At 37.9% G+C, this 21,978-nt stretch overlaps 1 protein-coding gene across 29 annotated transcripts in view; it reads right to left on the bottom strand.

The window, feature by feature from the left end:
• TGFBR1 (transforming growth factor beta receptor 1) overlaps nt 1-21,978 on the bottom strand; it is a 50,546-nt gene that overhangs the window by 25,555 nt on the left and 3,013 nt on the right. For 4 of the 29 annotated variants that reach the window (NR_176360.1, NM_001407432.1, NM_001407420.1 and 1 more), the window contains exon 2: nt 9,431-9,566. The exons of 20 other annotated variants lie outside the window; for them this stretch is intronic. The gene's annotated coding sequence lies outside the window, so the exon portion shown is untranslated. Of the gene's footprint in view, nt 1-635; nt 17,312-17,769; nt 17,830-21,497; nt 21,603-21,978 lie in introns of those variants that run through there. 5 more of the 29 variants (NM_001407422.1, NM_001407426.1, NM_001407430.1 and 2 more) reach the window with 3 other exon arrangements.

Here is a 21,978-nt window from a genome sequence, read left to right as displayed (position 1 = left end):
ATTTGGACCCAGGTTTTTTCCTGAAGTTTTTTGCTTCCAAGTATAGAAAAATTTTGTTATGTTCAATTTCATCAAAGCAAGGCAAGCATTTGCCTTCCCATTAGAAACAAAGTACATTTAAATTTGTAATGGTTATACTTTTTTTTTTTTTTTTTTTTTTTTACCAGGCCCAAACTAAACATTCACATACTCCTCCTTTGAGAAGCAATGTGTGAAAACACTACCACCCATTAAGTGTAGGCTAATGCCATTTCAGTGGCTTTCTGGATAATGGAGTAACGGAAACAGATTTGTACTGAGCCAGACACTCTCTATTCCCCTTGGTGCAAACCCTAAAAAAGACATGTATATTCTGGCCAGGACTGGGGCATTCTCTTAGGGAAGCCAAGCAGACTACACCTGTAACAATACATACATGCTCCAACCACATAGGCAACCTAACTACAGAAATGACTGGCAGCAAAATACTAGCTTCATGCCCACTTGTATCTACTTGATCTTTATGGCTCAACCCCAGGAGTGACCTCTTTAGGGAAGCCTTCTAATTATCACCAACACCTTCTCATACACACAGATACACCTTCAACCATGCTCTCTGATGAAGTTAAGTGCTCTCCAAAACACATACTGCTTACCAGAATTGCTAGTTTTGTTTTTCTTTCTCCTATGAAACTGTAAACTCCTTGAGGCCAGATACCTGTATTAGTCATTTCTGTCAATCTGCCATCTAACACCATGCCTCATGCACAGCAGCATTCAAAAAATACTTGTTGAATCACAATGATAGAATGTGTGCATAATTTCACCATGGTCACATGAAATTGCAAAGCACAGACATGTTCTTAAATCCAAACATTCCAATTACTTGTTGGCAAAGGAATAAAAAGGAGTCTAGGTACACGGAATGGCCATCTATGACGTGAACAGCAAGGTCCACTCTACCTAGAAAAGGAGTGGCTAGGCAGACAGGGGCAGGATAGACAGAGCTAACTCCCTGAAGAGCTAACTTGCTGTACAAGAAAGGGTTAACTCAGCAGGACTGAGTTGCTCAAACCCTGCATATTCCCAAGAAAGACTTGTCTTCAAAACTGGCCTTGGCTGGCTCCTGGTAGATGAGCTCTGAACCTTTGGAATATTCTCCCTGATAAGAATATTTCTGTATGCCTGAGGCCTTGGGTCACATGGTACCAATTTTGTCAGACAGCTTATTCTAACAATGTGATTTACAGTGAACACCTATTACTGCTGGGGGGCCGGGTAGGAGAAGTCTGAGGGGCTGAAGCCTGTCATGCAGATGCTGCAAGCCTAAGTGACTGACCAACAGTAAAAACCCTGGACACCAAGGCTCAAGCGAACTTCCCTGGTTGACAACTTCGTGCATGCTGTCACACATTGTTGTTGAGAGAATTAAGGCCATCTATGCTATGCCACTGGAATGGGACACCTGGAAACCTGTGTCTGATTTCTCCTAGACTTCACCCCGGGTGCCTTTTGCTTTTGCTGATGTTAACTGTATGGTTTTGCTGTAATACACTATAACCATGACTGTAACAGCTTTTCTGAGTCCTGTGAGTCCTTCTAGCAAACCAAGTCTGAGGATGGCCCTGCAGACTCCCAACTCACTTGCTCAACTCAAATTCAGGAATGTCAGGTTCTCCCTCAAGTAGCTGTTTCTTGGTTGCTGGCTTAATTCACATACTTGTCTATTATCTTTACAGACCAGTAAAGTTTTACCTTAATCATTATTAAAAACGCTTTCTTTATTCATAGACAGGTCAGCTATTTGCTTCCTAAGTATGAAAGAAACTCAAGGAAATGACAAGAAAGAGACACAATCGTAATAAAGACTGCTAAAAGAGACAGTAATTATTCATGACAAGGTGTGATGGTGATGGCTGTCTGGGTATGATTTCCTAAGGAGGAATTCTGAACCAGGAATTCATGGACTGGCTTCAGAGGTACATGAATCCCATAAAACTATAAGCCAAATGTTATATGTATTTACATTTTCAAGGAAAAGCTTTCCAAGTCAATCACAATGGAGTCTGTGACCCACAAAGCATTAAAACTACCACCGAAGGACATTGTCATAATTCTCTCCTAAATCCTCTTTACTCATGATTAGTCATTCAACCCATGTTTTCTAAGCATTACTTTTATCAGTTACTCTACCAAAAGCTTAGCACACAAAGATTAATAACTAATGGTCACAGCACTTGAAGAGCTCCAATGACAAGTGAAGGAGAACACTGTAATACAATGTGGTAACCGCTATACATAAAAAATATTGCCCTGAATACTCTCCCAGTTCTCAGATCACCATGGCTCCCCTATGCTGATGAGATAAGGGCTAAACACCTAGCCTAACAAGACTTTTAGTTTGGGGTTCCAATTTACTTCTCACATGGCAAATGCTATCTAGGGCCACACACCTCTCACCATTATAATAATAATGTCTTTCATGACCTTGGTCTTTACATATACCATCTCTCTGTCTAGTTTAAACCTATCTTCTTATCTGACTCATCCTTTAAGACCCTATTTCAACAGGATCTTTGCCATTATGTGCTCTAAACCTCGCCCTTACCTTCACAATAATTGGTATCTCCTTTCAATATGTTCCATAGTGCTCTTTGCATACCTTTAGAACAGCACAAATCAATCTATTTATAGCTTGCTGTTAAAGGGTCTTTCATTGCCTCAGGAAGGGCCAAGCTTGTTTTGTTTTTCACATCTCTGAATCCTGGCTCCTTAGATAGTGATCAGAAAAATATTTGCTAAAACAATGTCTCCCAAATATGCTGGGAGAAAAAAAGGATGTATAAGTTGGGTACAAGGTTTGAGAACATATTTTCACTTCAAAGATAATCTAAAAACAAGGATAAACATTCAAGATCATGAGTAGCCACTGTCTCAACACTGGCACTAGGCTTTCACTGCTGCTTCTTCAGCTGTGTGAAGATCCCCTTCAGGCCAAATGTCCTTGTGGCACACTACACACAGCATAAGTTTCATGGTCATTGTAAAAGAAAGAGTAAAAAATAAAGGGAATTTGAATCGACCATATGGCAATACAGGCATGGCATGCATATTCAAAAGCCAATAGCCTAACAGCCAATACCATATATGTACTTTATTATATGCAAGTGCTATATGGGTCCTACATGTGTAGTACAATTTGCAAACATTTGTTAGCAGTAAATATAATTGTAGGTATGCAATGTTTTTCCATTCTCATTTCCAGCAATAACTGGTTTAGAAAATCATTTAATGAAGATTTCAATAATGTCAAGATATTAACCTTATCTTCCAATGAACAAAATGGATGACATCTCAGTAAAACTTATAAGCCTGTATTTGAGGAATGCTTGCTGTCAAGTGTTTTGGTTAGGTATGATGTCTCATCCTGAACTTACCAACAAGGCCTTGAAGTCATTAATGCCCTCCTGCATAACATTACTGATGAGAAGAGGCACTACTCACAGCTTTTATTATCACTGAAGTTAAAATACAGAAACACATTTAAAATGGAATTAGACCTAAAGCTATTTTTTTCTACTGCAAAACCTAAACATCATCTGTCACATGGAATAATTGTATTCATTTGAATTTTGTTTTTTTTTGTAGTTGTCTTTGTATTTAATTTGCAGATTTGGTTTATAGTGGTGTATGAGCCAAGAACATAAGGGTTTTATATCTAGTTTCATGTCTACAGAATTTAAGTAACATTATGAAAAATACACTCTGTACTTCTCCTTTCAAAGAGGTCATTACATTACGGTAAATTTGAAAAAGTCAGTACTAAAGGGTTTTTCTTAACTACTCTTTCAATCAGAAGAGGTCACTAGACAAATAAAAACATCAAGATAACACAAAGCTTAACTAGGTAAAGATTTCTCTCTTCAGGGAATTAAAAAATTCCATTTCACCACTTGAAGTCAGTCTTGATTGACTACAAGACTGCTGTTATGTGATACGGCAAGATCGTTTAGGGAAAAACTAAAATAAGAACTTAATTTTTTCCATGAACATGAGTTTTAATTGCCATTTTTTTAAAAAATTCAAATTTATTTTATTAATAGATAGATTTGGCCCCTGGATACTGCCCCCCCCAACCTTTTATTCAACTAGGTTTTAAATTTTTAAACGCATATACATGGCAAAATTTCAATCTAAAAAACGTAAACGAAGACACCTCCTTCCGCCAGCCCAAAGCCCAAGTTCTCCTCACTCTGCAACACATCACCTTGACTCTTTCATTTAATTCTGCAATTATTCACTAAGCATCTCTATATGCCAGGTACAGTGTGGGCTATGAGGTGCAGAGATGAGTAAGACAAGGTATTTGCACTTGAGTAGTTCACTAGGGTGGAAGGGAAAGGCATTAAACAGATAATTAAAATCCTGAGTCCTGAGAAGAATGATCAAAGTGTTTCTACTCTGCTGCGGTAGAAGAGATTATCAAGAAAAGCTTCACCAGCATTCAAGTCAGAACTTGGAGAATATGTACAATTTGTTAGATAGATAAGGGTGAGAAAGCTTTCCTGACTGGGTTTTCTTTCTCAGTGGCAGGATTTCATCCTTAGTGGCTGGCATACCAAGTAAGATGATCAAATTTAAATTGTTCAAGATGCTAACTACGATGTTTTATTTCATCAGGAAAATAAACATAATACCTCTCTGACCTATTTCATCATCTGAGCTAATCAAATGAGATACTGTACTTTATTAACACATTTGGAAACGAACATAAATGATTATATAAACACACAGAATTATCCCATATGATAAATGGCATTGTGCCAATGTGGTTTTTATTCGTAGGCCACCAAAGGTAAACTTCTTCCCAAAAGTAGTGACAAAATTCCACTGTAGAATCCCAGACTAACAGAACCACATGAAACTTTGAATATCATCTAGGCAATTCAGTTCTGTCATTTTATTAATGTAGAAACCAAAACTTAAGAAAAGCAAAACAATTTTAAAAATTTTAAAAAGAAAACCAAAAAACCAAAATGATTTATACAAATATTCTACCCAGATTACAGGCGGATGTGAATCCTCACTATATTATCACCAGCCCACGAGTGAAACCTACGCAACTATTTGCTATACCACTATCCCCATGCTAAGTAACCCTGAACTTTAAAGACTCCCAGGTGGACCTGATTTGGTTTAGACTCCTACAGTTTTGACTCTTCTGCTTGATAGCAAAAATAAGAACCAAATCCCCTGTTTAGGACCTTTCTACTACACTGTCCAACTTTGTTTCCATGCCCCAGTCTTTAACAGTGGGCATAGCTTTCTTAATCTTGAGATGCACATTTCTCTAAGCTTTACATTTCTAAAATCTGAATACAATTTACAATCAAAGTAAAAAGAAAACTCCAGCCTCCAGACTGAAAGGTTAAGACATGATGGGTTGTTGTAACCTATGTATGTGCAAACTTGGCTATACATAGAAAAGATTACAAGTTGAGTATCCCTCATGCAAAATGCTCAGGACCAGAAGTGTTTTGGATTTGGGATTTTTTTCAGATTTTGGAATATTTGCATATACATAATGAGACATCTTGGGAATGGGACCCAAGTCTAAGTATAAAATTCATTCATGTTTCATATATGCTTTATATATATAGTCTGAAGGTAATTTAATATAATATTTGAAATAATTTTGAGCATGAAACAAAGGTCATGTTAAGTACTTATGTGCAGAATTTTCCACTTGTGGCATCATGTTGGTGTGCTCAAAAGGTTTTGAATTTCAGATTGGGATGTTTGACTTGTATTCACTTCACCATCACTGTAATTATTTGTCTTGATAGCTCCCTTGCAACTATAACTTAGGTTAAACAAGGATTTCAGTGTGATTCAGCACTAAAAGGAAAAGCTACTGTGTACACAGAAAATTATATCAGAACCATGCCAGGAAATACAATTACTAGCAGTGAAATTTCCAAATATTGCAGAATAAATCAGAATTTTCAAAGTTTGCAGATGTTAGCATGGTGACAGTTAGTACCAAAGGAAGTGACATGAGGAAAAAGAGACAACAGGACCCTTGGGGTTATTATTCATGGTATTATAGTATCGGGGTAACAACTCTCGGGGTAACATATCCCAAGTTGAGATCTTGGCTCTTGGTCCCAATATAAAGGATTTCCTTGGTTGCCTCATTTCAGTACGTCTCGAGGTCACATATGGAAGCACTATTAATTCTATCTAATGCCAGGGCTACCCAGGGTTAATTCACAAGCCCATATGTCTTGCTAGAAAAGCTGAGAGGTAAACAGTTGTGTATAGTATTAATATATGGAACAGATATTTCTATCACCCTTGTTAAAGAAATAAAAATTAGCACCGAAACCTTGTCTTCCCAGGCTTAGTGTGTCATCATCTACACAACCTACCCGTAGTCTTTTTATGCATACGCTTGAATACTCTTTCCTTTTTCAACCCTTGTTACTGGCCCTCTCCAGCCTTCTATCACCCATCTTCCTCCAGTTCAGAGCTCAACTGAAATCTCTCTTTGAAATTCACTAGCAATGCCCTTCTGGTCAAATTCAATATTCTTTTCAAAACGTTTCAGGATATGAGACAGAGTACCACCCTTTCTTTATTAGTTTTTATATGACACTAAACTTCCCAAACTTACTTTGCACTTGGCCCTTTGGTACATCTCAGATGTACATCTCCAAGCCTCTTGGCCTTTTACCTGTGCTCCAAGCTTGTATTTTAACTACATCCAGGAAACACTCTGCTTGGCTTACTTATCTATGCAAAGTCAAGCAGAGTGTTGTAATCCAGTTTTTTCATCACTCTGACTTTGCTGGTGATGACCCTTATTTTCCTCACCCTACCCACTACAGCACAACTATACTTTTCTTCGCAGTGAGAGTATTTCCAAATATTACAAACATGTACCAACAGGCAAGTAAAAGACCTAACATGCACAATGTCCTTTATGCAGTTTGCTTCACTACAGCTGAAAGCAGATCACATCACTGCTGGCAAAGGTGAAGGCAAAAGTTGGAAGTTATTTAAAAAAAACTTTCAGGGACTAATGTCAGCCCCTTTTATCATCCAACCTATTCTTCTACCCCAGTTCTTCTGAGTAATCTGCCTTACCCCTTTTCTCCATTCTCAACACATGCCCCCTTCTCAAGGAGACGTGTCCTCTTTTCTCCCTCATCCAGCTTTGGAGTAAAGCATACTATATAGATTCTCCTTTTCTTTTTATTAAATATGTTGCTTATCTCTGTATACATGGCTAAAACCCTGACCTCCAATTCCCTCCAGCCTACTATCCTAGGTTTTGTTCCTCAAAATACTCAGTTCTTCTCAATTCAACCCTCCTGGGGCTACCTTGCAGCAGTAATATCAAAGTAAGCTTGTCAAAATAGAGAACACCATATAATGTACATAAAATTTTCCTCTAGTCCAGATAATATTTCACCCCTGAATTTAGGGCATCAGAATAAACGCCTGATTTTTTTCCAGATAAATTCCATTTACTTCTGCCACTTTTAAAGAATTTAAGATGCATTGTTTATCATTTAACCCACATCACATCTTAAAAGAACAGGGCACTCCCAAATTCACAAGCTCTTGTTTTTCCACATTATCTTCATTTTCCAGTCTCCTAGTTTCTATGGAATTAGCCAATATAATGTTAACTGATATCAGAGAAAACACACTAAGAATAGGCTGCCCAAATGGCAAGATGGGATTTAACAGGGTAACTAATACAAAGGCTTTCACTTAGATTCGAAATAAATCACACAAGTACAGCATAAAGATCTGGTTAGCAGATCTGAGGAGTTTAACAACACATTTTAGAAGAGTCAGAGCCTTTAAAAAGTATCTTTTAATCCATCAATTCTACTACTTACAGTTGTCTGAGGAAACAATAGGTGAGAGCAAAAATCTAAACTTGCAGATGTTCATTACAGTATTTTATGATTGAAAACAACCTATGTGAATGACAATACAATGACAGAATGAATCCTTATACAATCATAAATGAAAGACTATATAGCCATTAAAACTGGTATTTTAGAAGCATGTTTAAGGACAAGGGAATGGTCCTACTACTAAAGGGCAGGAAGTAAAGCTGTATAGTGTGATTACAATTACAGTCCTGTCAAGTGACCTTGTTTTTGTTCCACTTCAATGAGTTGAGGGGATATTTTAATATACAGAGCAGATGTGCACACTTTGCCTTACCCCAGGCCCTGAAAAGAAATGGAGAAACTTCTATGTCTAAAGGTGAGTGCTAAAACAATAACCAAATTTCTTATTTCCTCTCAATCTAAGTATGCTTTTACACAGTTTCTTATTAGATTTTAATTTGACTAGTGGGTAGGTATTATAAGGATATGGTAGTTAAGTTGATGGAACTCAGAGACAGAAAAACTTAAGTTAAAATCCTATCTTTGCCAGTCAGGCACTGAGTAATCCTGAGGAAGTCACTTAACTTATTTGAACCTAAATTTCTTCAACTTACTTCCTAAATTTATAACATACTAACAAACAGTACCAATCTCAGAAGGTTTGAGGGTTAATGAAATAACATACATAGAATACTTAGCACAGTGCCCAGCACATAATAAAATGTTCAAAAATTAGTTTATGCACTTTTTCAACAAGTATTTCTTTGGAGCTCCTATTACGTGCCAGTCTCTGGTCTAGATGCTAGACAGAGAATCAGAGCTAATGTTGAGACAGCTCTGGTAGGCAATACTGACACAGAACACAATATAAACCATATGCATATACAACAGTGAATGTTCATGGTACCTATCAGCTCTTTCTCCTTCATAAATATTCATACAGTTTTTCAACAATATGACTGAACAGACCTGGCTCAAGAACTTCACTACAGTAGCAGTAGGCACACACAGAAAGTATATTTTCAGTTCCAACCCAAATTAACAGTGTAGGGACACACCCAGTGTGTATATGTAATATCCCTAATAAATAAGTTAATATCTAATTAGCCATAAAATGTTCATGCTGGAAGGAATATGAACAGAAATATCAGATCCCAGCTCCTTTAGAGATGAAGAAACAGAAATGTCCTAACAGTTACATCAACATAATCTAGATTTATTCCAAAAGTACACAAAGAAAAAAAGGATTACTTGATAATCTACAGTGATTTCCACCCCTACTCCCCACAACCCCTCACGTAGGACAAAACCGAAAATTTCAACCTTTCCCTTTGGAAAGCACGAGTGGCTGTAGGAGAGACTGGCTTGGTTGCACAGATAATAAGGTGTAATAATGAACGTAAATGAAAGTGGCTGATCATCCTGGGCTAGGGGAATGACATACAAAACAGAACTGTGGTAGAGAAGGAACTGTGGTAAGAGAAGGAAGTGGTAACCACTCCCAGCTGCCATTGACTCGGGGCAGAGGAGAGCAATACCTGGGCCAGCAAACAGCGAAAGATCTGTTGGAGCCACAGTTGAAGAAATGAACTGATGGTCCTGGGCAGTTAGTAATTTTAGAAGCAGAAAGCAAGGCCTGAACACCTTTTCTCAGAACACAACAGTGAATGTAACCTGTGTAGGAAGAAAGAAAAAACCTTTAGGAGGATAGAGATAATTAGGATTGAGATTCCTGCCCTCAGATTCACAATGCAGAGAACACACCACTGATAAATGATGATGCAAAGTGCACAGATCAGAGGACAGAAAAGGGAGATTTCTCTGAAATATGACACCTAAACTAAGACTTAAGGAAAGCTAGTGAAGAAAGGAAAGTCATTTTAGGTAGAGGATATACAAAAACATTGTACAAAAGATGCCAAAATAAAAGTTTGAGCCAGGTGTGGTGGCACGCACCTGTAGTCCCAGCTATTTGGGAGGCTGGGGCACAAGGATCACTTGAGCCCCAGGAGTTTGAGGCTGCAGTGAGCCATGATCAGGCCACAGCACTCCATCCTGGGCAACAGAGTGAGATCCTGTCTCAAAAAAAAAAAAAAAAAAAAGAAAGAAAACAGTAAGGGAGTTTGGCAGTTTAGGTGATGTAAACAAAAACAAAAAAACTGATAAAATTCAACAGCTATTCATGATTTTTAAAAATCTTAGTAAACTGATAAAATTCAACAGCTATTCATGATATTTAAAAATTTCAGTAAATTGCAGAATTTAAAAAAAATTCTGAAATAATCAGATTAAATAAAAGGCATAAAAGTAGGCATTACATTTAATGTTGCATGACTGTCATTTTCCCTTGAAATCACAAATAAGAAAGAGATATCCATCACTACTTCTCAACATTGTATTAGAAGTCTGAGTGTAGTAAGTCAGAAATAAACAAAAGGAAGATAGACTGGAAAGACACAGAACTATCATTACTTGCAGAGGACAACTATGTACATGGAAAATCCAAAAGTGACCTACAGATCAACTATTAGAATCAATTAGTCAATCTAGCAAGGTCACTAATATAAGGTTACTCACTATACCAAAAAAAATTAAATTAAAAAATCATTCTTAAACCAGTAATAAATAGAAAACGTTTTTTAAAAATCTAAAAACTAGGAATAAACCTAACAAAAGACAGGTAAAGACCTCTGCAGAGAAAGCTTAAAAAATATTACTTATTGATAGAAATTACAAAGGAGATAAAATAAAATTTTAAAATGTATTTATAAATGGAGAAAAGTGACAAGTTCCTAACTGGAAGATTCAATACTGTAAAGAGGTCAATATTCCATAAAGTGATCTGTAGATTCAATAAAATCAAATCAGAATCCCCACAGGGTTTTTTTATTCAGTGGGAACTGACAAGTTGATTCTGAAATTTATATGGAAAAACAACATCGCAAGAATAACCAAAGCAATCTTTGAAAGACTTAACACTACTCGATATCAAGACTCCTAACATCATAATAATTAAGACAGTATGGTAATGGCACAAGGACAAATGGGCAAACAGAACAGAGATTACAGAGAAACAGACCCTCACATATACAACCTCTTGATTTATGATGAAGGTGATTGTACACTGGGGGAAAAAAGGTTTTACCAATAAATGGTTCTGAGTCAACCAGATATCCGTATTTTAAAAATAATAAAAATCTCATACCATAATAAATAACCAACTCCAGATACATCTCAATGTGAGAGGTAAAACCAATCTTTTAAATGAAAACACAGGAAAACATTTTTAAAACATTTGGGTCAGAAAAAGTAAGCAAACAGGATTCTAACTTAAAGCAAAAAATTGAAGGCCGGGCACGGTGGCTCACGCTGTAATCCCAATACTTTGGGAGGCCGAGGCAGGCAGATCACCTGAGGTCAGGAATTCGACACCAGCCTGGCCAACACGGTGAAACCCCATCTCTACTAAAAATACAAAAAAAAAAAAAAAAATAGCCAGGCGTGGTGGCAGATGCCTGTAATCCCAGCTACACGGGAGGCTGAGACAGGAGAATCACTTGAACCCAGGAGGCAGAGGTTGCAGTGAGCCAAGATCGCGCCACTGCATTCCAGCCTGGGTGACAACAGTGAGACTCCGTCTCATCTGAAACATTCATCTCCCTTGTCAAACAAAATACCAAAGCAAAGCAGTTAAATTGTGGTTGCAGTCTCCTAGAAGAACACAGCTGAATTGAACCAAGCAAGGACAGAAAAGCCCACCAAAAGGAAGGAGCTTTTGTATTATTTCTATATTTGCATTTTTATAATATTTTTAATCATTAAATTTTGGACTCCCTTGGAGCCTAAAGATATAAGCATCTAGTGTTGACTGAACTCCTTTCAGGGAAACATTTGCCCTTTGAGACTAAACTATGTGTATATGAAAACTTAGGCTTGAGATGTACTGTAACCAAGCTAATAAAGTTTTCAGACCTCAAAATCTACATGCCGAGACTTGGCATTAGGAATATGGGTTTCCAATTGCTGGTAGCATTGATACAGTAGCATCATGGCTACTGAAGAAAGTGGGGGGTTGGTTATTAAAAGATAAGGATCTATCAGGCTCAGAGGCATAAGGGTCTTGATGTTATTTATACCTTGGATAACTGATGATACAACACCGAAGACTATCTTGCAGAATTATGAAATCTATATGTAAGTCAATAATCACTAGTCTCTAGATAATAGTTTAGAATGGTTCACAGGTGATTATACTCATTTCTTCCATAAGATTTTCCTTTTTCCCAGTTACAGAGACTAAGCTAAATCAGATGGAAGCACCCAATTGCTTAGGGCAACTACGCTATTTCCTCAGGGACACACCATCTGTTTGCAATGCACAGCTAATTCTGAGCCTGTTGGTCCTCGCAGAGTTTTCCCTTAAGACTTCTGCCTGATGCCTAAAATCCCTTAAAACTCCTCCCTCCTTTCCCTTCTCCCATGGTAAGGCAAGAGCAGGCTGGATCTGACAAAACTTAAATGATAGATGAGATCTACATAAAATACTTATGTGGCCTTTTTTTTTTTTTTTAAGAATAAAGTGAAGAAACAATTATGATCATGGGGAGAAAGAATGTGAGAGCAGAAAGGCTCAAGTTTATACATGCATCGAAATAAGAGGGAAGAAAACAAAAGGACAATGCACCATGGAAAGAAGGAAAGCAAAATAATGGAAAGGGAGAAAAAAGGAGCATCTCTTCCTAGGAAAGTAATCTACAATGCTGTGTTAATCTGCCAACGCTTTGGTGGGACTGGCAATCAGAAATTGTCTTTCCTCACTGACAAACATGACCAGACTCTGGCCCCTGATTTGTAATTTTTTTCCCAAATGTAAAATGAGACAAAATAACTAAAACTACTTTAACTTGTTTATTTTGATAAAATAATTATATATAATTATTGTTGAAGGAAATCTACAATACACAATCTTGGGTGTTTTTATTTAAATCTATCACACATTGAATAACAAAATTAAAATGTCAGTTTTTCAACTGGAGAAAGTACTCAAATCAACAACCACGTGCTGAACAAAGAGACCCAATTAGAGCACATTATAGTTTGATTTGGAAATGAATACATCAAGCAAAAAATAAAAAACCCATACATATATCGTGTGCTTGCATACAAATGAAAGGGCAGTTGCTGCTTTTCTATCTCTGTATGTCTTTTCAAGTTTAACTCTATCCTCCATGTTCAGTGCTCCCAAATATCTATATTAGTCCTAGTTTCTCGCAGAAAAAGCCATTCGTTTTTGCCTTTTCCCTGGGGACCTATTTGTAATTCAATGCATATTTAAGAATCTTATAATGTAGAAATGTAACAGGATGCCTGAAGAAGGTGTCCTAGAACTATAAATATACACTATTATGTAATCAGTGAGGTTTACACCTAGGAAATCTAGATGGAATGGTTTTCCTGAAGCAAATGAACAAAAATAAGGAGGTTCAGTCTTGGTGGTGAGAACAAGGAAACACTGGAACAGACCTGAAGTAGTACAGCAACTGCAGAAAAAAGGAAAAGTGAATCCTTACAAATCATGAGTGATAAACCCGAATTGTTCACTTTATTTTTCAATGGCCCATGTACAAAGACTTCTATAAAAGCTTCTGCTCAAGAACAGAGAGAAGCTTGTTTTTCCCAATGAAATCAGAATGCTTCTAACCACAGAATGCCCTCATGCTAATGTACGTGCCTATCTTTTCCATGAATACTGGGATTACTGTGAGACCAGTACAGTAGGGCCACACTCTCAGATAAGTGTGGTCTCTCCTAAAGTAATCATTCCGAACGTCCATTACTCAGAAATGAAGCAGTTCTTCAAACAAGAAACCCAAGCAAAGACACTCTGGATCTTACTGACTTGCACCTGTTTGAAGGTAAATGTCTGGCTCTGCCTTTGGTAGCAGTACTCTGATGAAGTGTATCAAATGGAGACACACCAAAAGATAAGGGCATGAGAAAAATGTCTTTGTAAGCCAGACTAAATAGTTTCATGTTGCTCTCTATTCATTATCCTCCAGCTTTTAGCAAAGCTTGATTTAAATGTCCTAGCCTTACATCAGCTGTTCCATTGGCATTAGGGAAAGACTAATGTGTTCATACTTGGATCAGAGACTTAAACTGGAGAAGAAAGATGGAGGCAGCAGCACTAAATTGAACCCTCAATACGTGTTAAAGGGGAAGCCTCAGAACAAGAATCAGATTATTGCCAGATCCAGCAATAACCCCTTACCACTTGGAGATTCTCCCTGTATGACAATCTTGGCATTTGGGGCTCCACTTTATTAAGGAAGGTGGCAGTCTCCTCATGAATTCTCGATAGGCAATGAGATCTATGCAAATTATCAGTCTTCCTTACTTGCCTTGGTTACCAGAAAACTCAGAGCTAAGTATTGTGTTCAACTTCTAAAGCTTTCCTCAGCTAAACTTACGGATAATTGTTCTCTTTTTCTTTCCCTTTTTGACTTACTGATTCTTATCTTTTGTGGTCAGTAGATTTGGTCTTACTGAATTTGCTATTATTTCAAGCTTCCAAAATCCTTTTTTGGAAAATGACCAAAATAAAAGCCAATCAATGGATAAACTAACTTTTCTCGTATAATACAGGAGCAACAAGATACTGCTCATCTTGAAGCCATGAATCCTAGGGATATTTAGACTATATTTGGCTAAAACCAGTAAGCAAGGAAGCTTGGATTATGCCCAAAAGTACAGAATTTTAGAGGAGAAACAGAGCTTAGAGATAAACAAGTCCGACCTCCTACCTAATGTAAGAAATTCCTTCTACAATTTCTCAGACAGAAGGTTATCTAGCCTCTGCCTGAATAGTTCCAGGGTGACAGGGAACATACTACCTTACAATGTTCCATTTTGACAGCTATGGTAGAGAGTCATTCCTTACATTGAGCTGAATTCTGCCTTTCAGTCTACCAATTAATTCTAGTTCTTCATTACACAGACATGTATTTCTTCTTTCAGAAGACATTCTTTCACTTATTTAAATATATAATAATTCCCCTTTATTGAACACCTACTGGTGTCAGGCTATGTACTAAGTGTAAATACTACTGTACACTATCTTCACAACGATCAGGTAAATTAGGAACTATCCTCTTTTGAAAAGTGAGTCACAGATACACTGATTAGACTCTAATTACAGCCAGATATGTTGGTGCTTATATACTACTCCTATAAACAAATATTTCATTAAATTTCTGACAACCAAGTCACATGAATTTAATCTGCCTTCAAAACTGAAAGAAAAACTTAAGTTAGATCAATCCAAATAGAAAAAGAGAGATGGTCTAGGGATACAACTGCACCAGTGTTTGGTTCATTGAGAAAAACAACAGGAAAAGCATTTAAAAGGATAGCCATCAGGGAGCTCCAGGAGATAGTAAAGCTGACACCTGTAACATCAGCAACCATGACCTGAGGCCTAGGCCGCAAGCAGGAAACTTCCTCTCTTTTATCTCAGCCAAGAACCACACTCCCAAAAGATCAAACGCATTACTGCAGAGAAAGCAGCACTGTCTGAAGGTTAATTTCAATACAACCAGAAGATCACAAGTAATTCTGAATATATACATCTTTACTAAGAGAGGTGGGGGAAAAATAGCATGAACCTGCAAAACAGGAAAGAACCATATCCCAGCAAACGGACCAGGACTCCAGATACAAGCTAGGACTTCAGGGTCTAAATAAAAACTCCATTTAAGGTAGCGTTTTAGGACACTAGAATCCTCCTACCCCCAAAAGAGAAAGACAGAGAGAGAGAGAGAGAATATGAGGTGAATGCTAGATGCTAGTAGCCATTTCTTTGCTTAAGGTGCTCTCCCATTTCCAACTAGGTTCCATTTTTTTTTAATCTTTGCTGACTACTGAGCAATTTTATTTGGCTACCTTCACCTCAAACTCAACATGCTTAAACCAGAATTCGTCTCCCCTTAATCCTCGTGCCAAATTACTCATTAAGTTAAAGGCATTATCCAGCCTAAAAAAGCTTGGAGTCATTCTTTTTTCTTTCATGGAGTCACTCTGAATTTCTGTACTCCACCTCTTTACAGCTAAGACCTACTGCCACTCAACAAATATTTACTGAGTGCCTAGGATGCACCAGGCACTTTCCATACACTTGAGATACATTAGTGAACAAAACGAAGACATCCACTTTCACAAAGCATAGAATGATAGGAAGGAGACAATAAACAGTAAATAAGTACATATGATAAGTAAATAAATACAGTATGTTAGAAGGTATTGTTACAGAGAAGGAAAGCACTGTAGGATGATGACAATATTTTAAAAGGTGGCAGGATAAGCCTCACTGAGAAAAAGGTGTCATCTGAGCAAAGACTTGCAGGAGGTGAGGGAGGAAGCCATGCAGGTATGTGAGGGAAGAGCACACAAGCAAGGGAACAGCCACACACAGGCCCTACTACTAATTCCTCTGATTTCTTTGTTTCAAATGTCATACAGTCACCATTTCACCCCGTTCTCAATGCCATCAAACCAACTGGGTAGCCACCCTGATCCATTCCCTCTGCGGCACAATTAGACATTCTTTTTCCACATTAAAACCACTCTCCTGATTTTCAAGGCCCATAATTCTCTGAGCCCACCCTTTACACCATGAACTTCCATTTCTCCTCTTAGAAATCCTGAAACTTAGAATGCTCTTTCTCCACACATGCCATCCTCTCCAGCCAAGAAGTGCCTCCTTTCCACCACACATCCACTCAAAGCCCTATCCTCCTGCAAGGCAGAGAGATCAAGTCCTACCTCCTCTGTAAAGCAGTCCCTGTGGTTGCTAGTACTGAGTCTGTAGTCATATTTCCTCAGCATCAATTTTTTCAAAAGCAAGACTGCCTCTTACTTTTCCTATATTTCTCATCATGTTGATCACTACTAAATATTTGCTAAGAATAGATGAGCTATTTCCTCTGTAAACTGAAGCTCTTTCCTCTGTAAACTGAAGCTGTTTGTCAATTTAAACACTTTTATTAGCTTTCATAAACTGCTGAAATAGAATGATTAAAGAATGGTTTGTTGCTGTTTTTTTGTTTGTTTGTTTTTGTTGAGATGGAGTTTCACTCTGTCGCCCGGGCTGGAGTGCAGTGGCGCAATCTCGGCTCACTGCAAACTCCACCTCCTGAGTTCAAGTGATTCTCCTGCCTCAGCCTCCCAAGCAGCTGGGATTACAGGTGCCTGCCACTACGTCCAGCTAATTTTTTGTTATTTTTAGTAGAGACAGGGTTTCATCATGTTGGCCAGGCTGGTCTCGAACTCCTGACCTCGTGATTCGCCCACTTCGGCCTCCCAAAGTGCTGGGATTACAGGTGTGAGCTACTGTGCCCAGCCCAAGAATGGTTTTTTATACTCAAAAAAAAAAAAAAAAAAAAAAAAAAAAAAGCATGGGTGCAGGATATGCCAAATGTTAATAATGGCTGGTGATGGTTTTTTTCCTTTCTCTAATACAAATTTTCAGTCCTGTGCTTATGTAACTTTTAGAAGAAAAGAATTTGCTATGAATATATGTATAAATCAATACAAATAGTAAGTGATCAACTATCACTGGACTCGTCAGGAAGATTCAAATTACCTAAAAATATAATGTTAAAGAAAGACTGTTAGTATCTGAATGGCCTGCAGTTGCAAAGAAATAGTAAAACTGTAATCAAGGCAATCTGAAGCAAATTCTCATGGTTTGCAAAAAAGGGAAAGGAAACTTTCCTGCTGAAGTGGCTCTAACAATGTATTTACTCTATATGAAAGGAGCATGGACGTACGTGACCCCATCATAAGTAGAGGAGCATTTGTATAGGAAAAGAGTACATACCCTGGAGTGCTTAACTGAAGGCTCCACCTTTCATTAACAGCATAACTTCAGTTTCCTGGTCTATAAAATGGAAACAAAGAGGGTCTTCTTTCATAGATATGAACTAGGTTCCAATCTGAGCAAAATTGTGTCAATTCTGCCTGCCCAGGCAGATGGGGTTTATGGTAATACAAAATCATTTGAGTCTCAGTGGCTGAACTACTGTTAGTCTACATCTGTGCCATTCAAAGCAGTGTCTTTCTTTTATATATATATTTACGATTAGACGATGAAAAAATACTAACACCTTTGGATAATGTTTAGAGTTGAAAAGAATCTTGGGGTAGAGCCGATGTTATCAAAACCTACAGTTATCTTCTGAGCACTGGTCACCTGTATCTGGGAACAAATGGGCTTAAGAGTTTGGAAATTAAGCAGCAAATAAGTAAGAAGTTTTGGTACTCTATACAACTACCATTCAAGGTTGGTTATGAGAACTAAATGATGCCGTATTAGCCATGGTCAAAGAAAAAAAAAGAGAGAAGAGAGAATTAAACGAGACAAGACAGATAGAATATGTAGCATATTCTTGCAACCCTTCAAGAAATTTCAAAGCAACCTGTGTGTATACTTTGCAAGTCAATTTTTTTTAAGTTAGATTAGAAATTGTTCTTTGAGGGAGCAGCTTTATAAAAGACTTGATCTGATCTATAAAATTGGACCATAAAACCAACTGAACTTAGTCCACTAGTATTTAAGAAAGTGATGTCTGAGATGAATAATTACAAGTCTACCAACCAATTTTCTTCATGATGAAGAAGGGTAGCCATAAGAAACTTACCTGGAAAGCAAACAAAACACATAAAATTGGATCTAATTCAGAGTGGTAAACAATTTTAATGTTTATGGAGACTGCCTGGATTTGACATTGAGAAAATTCAGCTAAGAATGGCATTAAATGTAATCCTAAGTATTGGAGTTAGGCTGGGTCAAAACTGACCATAAATTCTGAGAAGACTCCAAAACTTTTCCTCAAGCTAGTTCTATGGGACAAAGCATTAAAAAATCCCTGAGAAATATGCCAGCATCTGCCCTCAATTCCAAAAGCAGGAAGCAAAGATGTGACCCAATCACATGATATCAAACCACAGTCCATCTGTTCAGAGAACTCTGTGTTACGTAAGCCATGACCAAGGAAGAACTGCAAAAGGCAAGAGGTGTGTCGACATTTGCAAGGGGCTCTGTGGTTTGAAGAGACACGTTCTCACATCAGAAGGGCCATCCATAGGATAATGGCATTTTCAAAATTCCATTTATTACACATGAACATATTTGGTGCAATAAAATGACACTACAAGAATGGTGTTGAGTCCCTGTAACTGCTCAACTAAGGCCTAGAACCTTTTGACAGGGGTCTTCCCTACATGAGCGGCCCTCCTCACAGGAACAAGATTTATCTTCCTCTTGATTATTTTTATGTCAATTCCTCTCTTAATTTCAACAACAAAGCGGATCATCTAATATTCTAAACCAAAGCCTTCTAACTACACCCCAATTCAATTAACTGTACTTACTCAAGACCATCTTCCAAACTACTATAGGCCTACTTTTCTCAATCAATAAGTATATACCAGGTCCTTTTATCAGCAATTAAAAAAAAATTGACCTTTTCCTTGAGAACTTTAAGGCTTTAATCATTCCCCCTCCCTTCCACCTTTAGAATTCACTTTTCATAAATTCTGTGAAGTTCAAGGCCTACTTCACTTAAGGAAGTCACTCATCCCTTCGTGGATGCCAACCACCTATCCCAACCCTGTCCCACTCCCACCTCCAAGTCCTTCACATTTTAAAGCACCATATAGGGCACAAGATATGGAATCAGAAAATCAAAGTTCCTGTCTCTGTTCTGCCCCTGTGCCACCCTAAGAAATTCACCTGAGTCGTTTTTTCATCTGTAAATTGAAGTGATAATATACTTAGGACTTCCACCATTTGAATGCCTAGTCCTACTGGGCATCCCATAATGTTATTCTCCCTCACTCATTCCACTTTGATTACTTTTATGTTTTGTTTCCAGCTATGTACTATAGCTTTTAGGATTGGGGAAAAAATGATAGAGGTTAATACATCCAAATTCCACAGTACAGAATAAGGAACCTAACTCTGAAGAGTAACTTGCCAGTCAGTCAGTAAAAGCCTTGTTTCCTCCCTTGGAGTAGGCCCCAGGACAGTTGGGGACACAACTTCAAAAGAACTTTCACACTCATCAAATCCCCCTCTGAATTCTACCCACCCTTCAAAGTCAGTGTAAGTCCTAAAGTGTCCAAGAAGCCTCCCCCAATCATTCCAGCTTACACTAATCATTTCCCTTTTTGAATACTAATGCCTCCCTATAGAAATGATATTAAAAATATTTAACAACTGGCACTACAAGGGTACCAACCAATCAGAAAGGATGTTTAACCAAAACACACATGGCCCAGTGGGAACTGCTTATTGAACATCAGTCCTGCTCTTTAGCAACAACACAGAATAGCAACCTCAAACTCAAATACCACTTTCTCATGTGATCTTCACAATCTCATGAATTAGGCAAAAGTAGGTATTGCCCCATTTTCTGCATAACTGCTGGTGAAGGTAGGACAAATAACCAATTGCTTTCAACACGCCATACAACTTTTCCTGATTATTTATACGGAATTACAAGTTAATATTGCATAAACTGGACTTACATAAAACAGTATAAATATTAAAGGAATGCTCAAATAGAAATCAACAAGCATTTATGTGGAATAGAATATAAAACACAGTGCTAAGTTCTGAGGCCACAAAAGAAAGAAATGGCATGAATCTTGTCCTCTGGGTACCTATAACGCATTCAAGTAGAGTTAAGTAGCAGCACAGGCAGTAGAAATGGACAACACAAACTGTTAAGTGTTGCAGAGTTCTGGAAGACAAAGAATTCAAGAACTAAACCAGCACAGGAAGTCAGGGCTGAGAACTTCTCGCACTCCCAAAAAAAGGGGCAAAACTAAATGTGTAGTGAAAAGGCTGAACAGTCAGGAGTCAGTGAGAAAGAGAAATTGCTCGAAGGTCTGCAGTAATGAGAAATGAGATCCCTGGTAGGATACTCAGAGATGGCCCCAATCATAAGCTGCTAAGTGTTGTTCTAAGTGCTGAATACAAATGGGAAATCTTATAAACCTTCACGGGGAAGGCTGAGGAAGATTAGTTTGGCAGTAGCCATAGAAAAGCCTAGATGAGAAAAACATGGGAAAGCAACTAGATTTGGAGGATAACAGGCAGGATTAAGCTGAAGGCTGCATACCAAGAAAGGAGGAGACATTCAAGAGGCATTCATAGAAGAGTTGGATTGGGGGCACGTTTTCAAAGAAAAAAAGTTATGAAATGGCAGAAAGGAAGCAAATAGCATTCTCAGATGGGATATACATATAGACATAGTGGTACTAAACTGTGCACTAGGGATAAGGAATCAATTTCCCTAGAGAAACCTATGTTGGAGACAGAAGTTGGGCAGAGAACATTAAAACATACTCAGAACATAAAAAGGTGCAAGTCTTTAAAAGGGAAGCCAAGTTACAGAGGAAATAAAAAGCATTTGACCTTTTTCAGAATGTTTTTTAAGGGTGGACTGAGGCATCATCATAACCAACAGGGGAGGCAGACAAGCTGAGGCAGTCTGGGCTTAGAGTAATAAGCACCTGGACAGCTTTGTATTTTGTGCATACCATGGAGACTGTAAACTCCTCCAGGACATGGACTGAGCAATGTTCTGTGTCTTCAACTAAGTCCACTACTGTTACTTGAATACATGAACGCTTCTTGTGCTACTTCTGGTGGAAAAGAGTGCACTGTGTTATTCAAGTTAATAGCGGTGTGGAAATGTTACCTGTGTTTCATGCCTAACTATACTGATTCTCCCAAATGTCCACACAGTTATCCTGCCTTCCTCCCTAGGCCAATGTCAAAAATCCATTGTTTCCTCTAATGCAGGCCCACGTGAAGGGACTCAACAATGTGCTAAGAGTCGGAATGAAGCCTATCTGATACTCAAATCATGAGGACAGAATCCAAAGTGGATAATAAAGACCAATTGCTCATCAGACGACTGAAGAAGAAAAATGGGCTACGCCAGATAGTATGATGTATACATATTTATATATATATATGACATACAGGTTTGGGAAACTGAGATCTGAGTGAAAATCC

This window comes from Homo sapiens, chromosome 9, assembly GCF_000001405.40.
Source record: "Homo sapiens chromosome 9, GRCh38.p14 Primary Assembly".
Classification (NCBI taxonomy): Eukaryota; Metazoa; Chordata; class Mammalia; order Primates; family Hominidae; genus Homo; species Homo sapiens.
Note: the sequence above shows the minus strand (reverse complement) of the source record. Positions and strands in the feature narration are given on the sequence as shown.